Source organism: Homo sapiens, chromosome 2, assembly GCF_000001405.40.
Source record: "Homo sapiens chromosome 2, GRCh38.p14 Primary Assembly".
NCBI classification, from domain to species: Eukaryota; Metazoa; Chordata; class Mammalia; order Primates; family Hominidae; genus Homo; species Homo sapiens.
In genome coordinates, this window is record NC_000002.12 from 157,711,437 (window position 1) to 157,720,893 (window position 9,457).

The 9,457-nt window shown below is 38.1% G+C and overlaps 1 long non-coding RNA gene across 1 annotated transcript; it reads right to left on the bottom strand.

Annotated features, from left to right (window-relative positions):
• Positions 1 to 5,566: 5,566 nt before the first annotated feature.
• On the bottom strand, positions 5,567 to 8,671 carry LOC124907898 (uncharacterized). Its single transcript, XR_007087270.1, has 2 exons — positions 7,355 to 8,671; positions 5,567 to 5,989 (listed from the first exon to the last, which is right to left on the bottom strand). It is a non-coding gene; the product is annotated as an uncharacterized LOC124907898 (long non-coding RNA).
• Between the last annotated feature and the right edge of the window lie 786 nt (positions 8,672 to 9,457).

The window sequence follows — 9,457 nt, forward strand, 5'->3', positions numbered from 1 at the left end:
ATCATTCAATGCAGCAATCCCACCACTAGGCCTCTACTCAAAGAAAAAGAAATCTATATATCAAAATGTTACCTGCACTTGTATGCTTATTGCAGCACTATCCACAATAGCAAAGACACGAATCAACCTGTGTCCATAAATGTACAAACGTTAAAGAAAAGTTGGTATATATACACAATGGGATGCTATTTAGCCTTAAAAGAGAATGAAATCATGTCTTTTGCAGCAACATGGAGGGAACTGCAGGTCATTATCCTAAATGAAACAAGCCAGGCACATTTGTGTCTTCCAAGGAATTTGTTCATTTCACTTTAGTTACCATATTTATTGGCATAAGTGTATTCATATTTTCTTACTATCATTTGAATGTCTGTAGGATCTCTAATGATATTCCTTCTTGCATTCCTGATACTGATCATTTGTGTCTTACTTTTTTCTTGATAGTCGTGAACTATCAATTTCATACATTTTTTTAAATGTTATACATTTTATTGAGCTTTTTAAAGCAGCATTTTCATTTTGTTTGTTCATTTTATTTTACTGATTTCTGCTCTTATATTTATTTCCTTTATTTTTTATTTTGGATTTAATTTGCTTTTCACCATGTTGGCCAGGCTGGTCTTGAATTCCTGACAAGTGATCTGCCTGCCTCAGCCTCCCAAAGTACTAGGATTACAAGTGTGAGCCAGCACGCCTGGCCTGTGCACAATATTTTCTACTCTCTCTTGTGATTTCTTCTTTGATTTATTGGTTACTTGGTTGTTCAATTCAAATTTTGGTAATTGTGTTAGTCATTTGTGTTGCTATAAAGGAATACCTGAAGCTGGGTAATTTATAAAGGAAAGAGGTTTATATGGCTCACGGTTTTGCAGGCTGCACAAAAGGCATGACAGCAACATCTGCTTCTGTTGAGGGCCTTAGGAAGCTTACAATCATGATGGAAGGCAAAGGAGGAGAAGTAGTGTCACATGGCAAGAGAGTGAGCAAGAGAGGAGGAGGTGCCAGGCTCTTTTTTAAGAATCAGAACTCACATGAATTAACAGAGCAAGAACTGACTCGTTACTGCAGGGAGGGCACCAAGGCATTCATGAAGGATCTGTTTCCATGACCCAAAACCAACCACTAGTCACCACCTCCCATTACATTTTGACATAAGATTTGCAGGGGACAAATATCCAAACTATTATCAGTAATATTCTAATTTTCTTTTTGTTTTGGATTTAACTCTATGGGTGGTCAAGGAACATAAGCTGTATCATTTCAATTATTTTGAATCTATTAAGACTTCTTTTACAGCCCAGAATGTTGTCTCTTTTGGTGAATGTTCCATGTGTACTTGAAAAGACTGTGTGTTCTACAATTGATGATTGGAGAGTTCTGTAATGGCAATTGGGTTAAGTTTGTTGATAAAGTTGTTTAAATTCTGTAAGTCTCTTTGATCTCACAATTACCAAGAGAAGAATATTGAAAAGTCCAATTATAACTATAGATTTGTTACTCCTCTTTTTAATTCTTTAAATCTCTGTTATTAGGTCTATCCACATTTATGATATTTTTATGTCTTCTGATGAACTGACCCTTTGTGAAAAGTCCTTCTTTATCTCTGGATATACTCCTTGCCCTAAATCCACTGTTTAATATTAATAATATGGTACCAGTTTTGTTCTGAATAAAACCTAGATGATATATCTTTTTCTATGCTTTTACTTTTATCTGATCTGTATCTTTATATTTAAAGTGAGTTTCTTACAGGCAGCATAAAATTGAGTCTTGCTTTTTTTAATTGGAACATTTAAACCATTTAGATTTAGATCATTTACCTTTAATGTAATTATTGATTTAAAAATTACCATTTTGCTATTTTTTTCTATTTGTTTTATTTGGGTTTCATTCTTTTTTCCCTCTTTTTCTTCTCTCTTTTGGATAATGTTTTGGAGTTTCATTTTAGTTCTGCTATTGGCTTTTAAGCTATATTTCTGGGAGGCTGGGTTTTTTGTGTTTTTTAGTGGTTAGCGTATATAACATGCATTTTTAACTTATGATAGAGTATTTTCAAATCATATTAATCCCTTCATGTATATGTACATACGCAAGAGTTTATTTCCATTTTTCTCCTGTTGTTGTGTCATATATTTTATCTCTATACATGTTATATACTCAATTATACATTGTGGTATTCTGCTTTAGTCAACCACCTGTAAAGAAATTTTTAAATGACAAAGTCTTTTATATTAACCAATATATTTTATTTACCTTTTCCAGTGCTCTTCATTCCTTTGTATATCCAAGTTTCCACTGGGTCTCATTTCCTTTGGCCTGAAGAACCTCTTTAAAGCTTTTTGTAATGTAAGCTGCTGCTAATTAATTCTTTCAGCTTTGTTTTATCCGAAAAAAGCCCTATTTTAACTTCATTTGTGAAGGACATTTTCACTGGGTATAGAATTCTAGGTTGACATGGTTTTTCATCCACCACTTTAAAAATGTCATTCCAATGACTTCTGGCTTGCACGGTTTCTAAACCATGCTTCTTCTAAAAAGAAGCCTTCATTAATTCTAATCTTTGTTCCCCTGAACATAATGTTTTGGTTTGTTTTTTCTTTAGCCACTTTTTTTGTGTGTGTGTGACAGAGTTTCACTCTTGTTACCCAGGCTGGAGTGCAATGGCACGATCTCACCACATCCTGGTTCACCACAACCTCCACTTCCCAGGTTAAAGCGATTCTCCTGACTCAGCCTCCTGAGTAGCTGGGATTACAGGCATGCACCACCATGCCCAGCTAATTTTGTATTTTTAGCAGAGATGGGGTTTCTCCATGTTGGTCAGGCTAGCCTTGAACTCCCAGCCTCAGGTGATCTGCCTGCCTTGGCCTCCCAAAGTGCTGGGATTACAGGCATAAGCCACAGCGCCCAGCCTCTAGCCACTTTTAATATGCTCTCTTATCACTGAATTTTAGCAATTTGCTTATGACACATGTTGGTGTGTGGTTTTATTACTGTTTATTGGGTTTTGTGTTCATTTGATTTCTTAGGGTTTTTTGAGCTTCTTAGATATGTATGTATATAGCATTCATATATTTGTAAAATTTTTAGTCATTATTCCTTAAAATAATTTTCTTTCTCCTGCTTGCATTCTGGGACATCAATGATAGGTATGTTAGACTACTTGTTTCAAAATCACTGAGGCTCTCTTCATGGTCTCCAGTATTTTTTTCCTCTCTGGACTTCATCTCATGTTATTTTATTGTTATGTCTTCAAGTCTGCTGACTTTTATTTTTACTGTCTAATCTGCTGCTATCCTAGCCTGTACATTTTTCATTTTATATATTGTAGTTTTCATCTTTAGAAGTTTCATTTTGTTCTTTCCTCTCTCATTAGGTTCACCTTTTCTTTTAAATTCACAAACAAATCAGACATATTTAGAATAGCTGATTTAGCATCCGTGCCTCATAATTCCATCATCTCTGCCATTTCGTGGTCTATATAGATTTCTGATTTTTTCTTGGTAATGGATCATATTATCCTGTTCCTTGGGTAACAGATCACATTTTCCTGTTTCTTTGTATGTGTAATTTTTTACTTTATGCTAGACTTTGTAAATTTTACATTGCTGAGTGTGAGATCTTTAAAGAATTTTGAACTCTGACTTGAAGAATATTTATTTGTGAAACAGTTTGCTAATTAGAATGCTTGTTTTTATTCTTTAGAGTAATCCCACAAGACCCTTTATTCTATGGTTAATTTAGCCCTGCTACTAGGGTTTAACCCTTTTGGAATGTCTATGGAATGTTTCATGTATTCAATGAAGATTCTTCATTCTGGTTGTTGTGAACAAAGCTTAGGGAATTATTGGGCTTATAGCTGCCCTATGATCATTTATTCCTTAGCAGTTTTTATTGTCTAGTCTCTTGGGGTTTTAGCCTAAACATGTGTAAATTGTTATTTACCCAAAGGTTCAAGCGCATCCCTATAAACATTTCTGGTGCCCTTTCTCTGCATAGCTCCTTCTTCACCATTATTGTTGCCTCACAAATTCTGGCTGCCTTGGTTTCTCCAATCTCCTCAACTCAGCAATATTGTGAACATATTTTGATTTCTCCATTTCTATATTATAGAAATATATATTATAGAAATATGGTGCATGTGGGCTTACCTGATTTGTAAGGCTTACCTCATTTGACGTTCTGCTTTCTACAGCAGGAAGTGGGTACGATTATAAGGCTGACTTCATTTGTTTTCCTTCCTTAGAGCATCACAGTCCTGTCTGATGTTTAAAACTGACTTTTCATATATTTCGTCCAGTTTTCTATTTATGGCAAAAGGCTAATTTTGAACTTTATTATTAAATACTTTCTCAGAGTCAGAAGCAGAAATCTACTGTGTTTTAGGTGAATTTTATTAACACTTGAAAACAAGTCTAATTTGACAAAACTGACTAATTTTAAGGTGTATTAATTTTCTACTCACTGCCATAACAAACTATCAAAAATTTATTCACTTACAATAACACAAACTTATTATCCTACAATTCTGTAGGTCAGAAGCTCAGCACAGGTTGGGCAAAATAACAAGGTGTTGGCAACATTGCAGTCCTTTCTGGAGGCTCTAGGAGAGGATGTTTTCTTGCATACTACAACCTCTAGAGACCTGCTTCCTCCATCTACAAAGCCGGAAACATTGCATCTCCCAGGCCTTTCTTTCATAGTCAGATCTCCCTCTGACTCTTCTGTCTCCTTCCAATTTTAAGGACCTTTGTGATCCATACGGTCCCTGTGAATAATCCAGGATAATCCCCCTATTTTAAATTTAGCTGATTAGGCCAGGTGCAGTGGCTCACGCCTGTAATCCCAGCACTTTGGGAGGCCGAGGCAGGCGGATCACCTGGGGTAGGGAGTTCGAGACCAGCCTGACCAACATTGAGAAACCCAGTCTCTACTAACAATACAAAATTAGCTGGGCATGGTGGCACGTGCCTGTAATCCCAGCTACTTGGGAGGCTGAGTCAGGAGAATCGCTTGAACCCAAGAGGTGGAGGTTGCAGTGAGCTGAGATCGTGCCATTGCACTCCAGCCTGGGCAACAAGAGCAAAACTCCATATCATTAAAAAATAAATAAATAAATAAATAAAAATAAAATAAATTTAGCTGATTAGCAGTCTTAATTCCATTTGGACCCTTAATTTCCCTTTGCCATGCCATGTAACCTAACATATTGCCATGTAACAGTTCTGGCAATTAGAATGGGGACATCTTTGAGGGAAGATATTAGTCTGCTTACTACAAATGGTGTTTACAGTCTTAAAAATACCATTGGCAATAAACTTTGTAAAGCATAAAATTAATTTTCATTTTGTATTTTTGTGAATTAGATGTGAAAGTGAATTTAAAATTCCCATTTATATATTTATATGTTGGTCAGTTATTTATCTTAATATACGTTATAGCAAATATATAGACAGATAGGTAGAGATATAAAGAGAGTCATTATAGTTTATCTCCTGTATGGTAGCTACAGATTTTACTATAAAGCTATGTGCTTATATAGATGAACATCTTCATTTCTAAGATGTGGGATCTTTCTGGTTTTTATTTGGTTATAATTCTCCTTTTTGATACTAACATCTAATGTTTTAACCTAGGTCCAATCTAGGGACAATATTCACAACTGGGAATATGGTCTGAGAATGATGTTACTTGGAGGCCATATTAAGTTTTCGTAATAGTTGGTAAAAGCTAATAAGGCTGAGGTCTTGTTGAGTATTAAAACAAGGGAAGAATATTTGACTTTATGTTTTGCAATATTACAGATTGCAATAGTGTGCAAAGTAAATAAGTGTTCATATGTGAGGCAAAACTGGCAGAGACTCTCAGTCAAAAGTCAGAATGCTTGCTTCCTTCTCTGATTTCTCTCATCTCCTTCTCGTTTTGCAACTTCTTTGAGCTTGCTCCCCTGTGGCTGGCTGTGTTTTCTTCCCAAGCCAATTGTACATTTCTGAAAATATAGACAGCACAACTTTTATTTCTTCTTACCTGTTGTTCCTCAGGAAAAGTTACTTATGACCATGACTAGTGCATAACAGGTGTTGCAGAAACAGAATCAGCAAATGCTTCTCATTCTCCTGAAGATGGTGTCATCCTCCAAAACAATCTTAACATATTTCATATGAATGTATGATATTTTCAAAATCATCCTTTTGAAAAATTATTCTTTCAAACCTTGTGTACTGTTATGGGCTTGTAGTAAACATTAATCATGATTACGGGTGTGATTGCAGGCGAAAGGAGTTTCTAGAAAACATTTCCACAAAGCAGCAGATGCCCCAAGAAGCAACTCAACAAAGACATTCCCTCTAACTAGAAAACAGATAAAGTTACCACCAAAAGTTGCCACCCTGCCATTTTGACACCACAATGACAAAGTATCACACTTTCTTAGCTATATCCTATGAACAGCCACTTTAATGAAAGAATGCCCTGTTTGGGCAGTGTGGAGATTTTCTAGATTTTCCCCATCATTCCAGAGCTGTTCTCATTGGTCTCCATCTTTCTCTACCTCATTCTCTCTCCTTTTGAAATCTTTGCCTGTAAGTTGACTCATCTGAATGCATCCCATTTACTGGCTTCATGACTGCTTCATCTGATCTGGTCTGTTACTGGATATCATCATAAACTACTATTTTTGAGTGCTCAATTTGTCTGTGTGTCTTTATATAACAAATCATCTAAAAAACAGAACTGTGATTTACCTTTCTTACAAAGTAAAACATGTGGAATTCATATAAAAAATTTGGACCTCGGGGCTGGGTGCGGTGGCTCACGCCTGTAATCCCAGCACTTTGGGAGGCTGAGGCAGGTGGATCATGAGGTCAGGAGTTGGAGGCCAGCCTGGCCAACATAGTGAAACCCTGTCTCTACTAAAAATACAAAAATTAGGCGGGCGTGGTGGCACATGCCTGTAGTTCCAGCTACTCGGGAGGCTGAGGCAGGAGAATCGCTTGAACCCAGGAGGCAGAGGTTGCAGTGAGCTGAGACTGTGCCATTGCACTCCAGCCTGGGTGACAGAATGAGACTCTGTCTCCAAAAAAAAAAAAAAGAAAGAAAAGAAAAAAAAGAAAAAAAAATTGGACCTTGGATTTTCTGGGATCAGCACAGTGTTTTTAAAAATAGGCAAATTTTACATAATAATCCAGATTCCTGACTTATCTTGAACAACTAGAAAATTTGGCAACATGGGGTCATCATTTTTGCATGGCAGCAATTAGCTGGAAGTGAACAGCAGCTACCTCCATTAATTAGACATATACTCTCCAGTGTGTCTTAGGCCCCACCACTCCCTCTTGTCTTACCCTTAGCCTACCTGATTCATTTAAATGTAAGAGCGCTGAACCAGACAAAGCTGCCAAGTAACGCTGGTACTATAGGAAGGTCCAGCAGCATTTATGACACCTTCATTCAGTATCTACTATGAAGGGAGAAAAAAAATAATATTTATTAGGTATCAAGTACATCCCAAATGATTCTTGCTATCAAGTGACTCACATTCTAGAAGAAGAACCAAGGTGTAATAAAGACAAACAACCCAGATGTAATAAAATATACACCAGGACCTAGCTAAGGTACAGTTTCTTGTTTGCAACTAGTGTTCTTCTAGGCAGACACTGAGTGCTTCCAGAACAAGAAATATACATTTAGACATGGAAATCTGCATGTCCCCAAACTCCAACAACCAGAGGAGACTGTCGCTGCAAGGCAGGAATGAGGATTATCTAAATTCTGTATACCTCAACTTCCTCATCTGCAAATGGAGATAGTCTCTCATCGGGTTGTTGTGAGAATTAAATGAGTTGAGGTATTGGATGAATTAATGGTAAGCCCTTAGAGACTGCTGGCATATATCAAATGGCTTATTAATATTAGTCATTAAATCACAATGATCATACTATAGTAACCTTTAAGACAGGGCTCTAAGGTAAGAACTTGATTATGGTGGTGGTGAGGTGAGGGAATGTGAGGACAAGAGATGAAGGCAGACTTGGTGACAGGGAACATGCGCAGAGTTCAGTGACTGTACCCAGGCAAAAGAGGCTGTACATACCTTGCCAAAGCAATAAAGAGCCCCTGGCTCAGGACTCCTGATACACGGAGAGTATCCTTTGCATTTTTGCATGGCTGTCTCCTTTGAAAGCAGCAAGGATACCTCTTGTTTTTTGTCTCCTGTACCTCCTACAGGCTTGGCTCTTAGTAGATCATCATAGACGATTATAGAAAAATGAAGTATGTGAACGAATGAGGACAGTTCAATCTGCACTGACACCTTAGCCTTGGGAGTGGCCAGGCTGAGCCTAGAATGAGGGTAAATGAGCACCAGCTAGAGGAGTCAACAGCCTATGGGGGAATGATATATGGTAGCTATTTATTCAGTTCCTAAATACTTCAACTTTGGGGCAATTATATCAATTGGGGATGCGTATGTCATCCAGCCAATAGCAAAATCAGTTTCTTTTTCTTTTTACATATATTACATCACTTTCTTGCATGATACAAGGTGTTTCTCAGGTTACCAGTCTTTCCTTCCCAAATTAGCATCTGTCCAAGGACAGCCCCATTATTTTTTTTATTTTATTTTTTATTTTGAGACGGAGTCTCGTTCTGTTATCCAGGCTGGAGTGCAGAGGCGCGATCTCGGCTCACTGCAAGCTCCGCCTCCCGGGTTCACGCCATTCTCCTGCCTCAGCCTCCCGAGTAGCTGGGACTACAGGAGCCTGCCACCACGCCCGGCTAATTTTTTGTATTTTTTAGTAGAGACGGGGTTTCACCGTGTTAGCCAGGATGTCTCGATCTCCTGACCTCGTGATCCGCCTGCCTCGGCCTCCCAAAGTGCTAGGATTACAGGCGTGAGCCACCGCGCCCGGCCAGAGAGCCCCATTATTTTAAAGCGAATAATTTTACCCTGTGGGAAGAAAGAAAGAAACTATTTACAGAAATAAAGAGAGTAGTAACTTTTGTCTCCTTTTCTCTGTTCTTCTTGACTCATCCTTGAATGACAGAGAGGAGAGGAGGGGCCATGATGTGGCCAAGGGAGACAGATCAAGAGGCGAGAGTGAGTCCTTTCAGACAAATCTGCCTGCCTGGGAACCTGGCCCACTGCTGTTAAATGGCCATTTTTCTCAGGAAAAATGCTTTTGCCCAACATTTTTGCAACTCTTGTCCAATACATGCTGCCCTATGGCATGGACTCCTCTCCTCTTTATTGATGGTGCCAACTTCCCCCTGTGGAGCCAATAGCCTGTTGACCAGACAAGGCACCAGGAACTAAGAAATCTCAAAGGCTAGGGACATGGTCCCTGGGCAGTCCCTTAGCTTATTTGCCTTGAAAACTACATGCACAATAGAATTAGTTACTGTTAGTAGTGCTGAACTTTCTCGTATCTCCCAAACTCCCTCTGCTATGAGCTGGGAG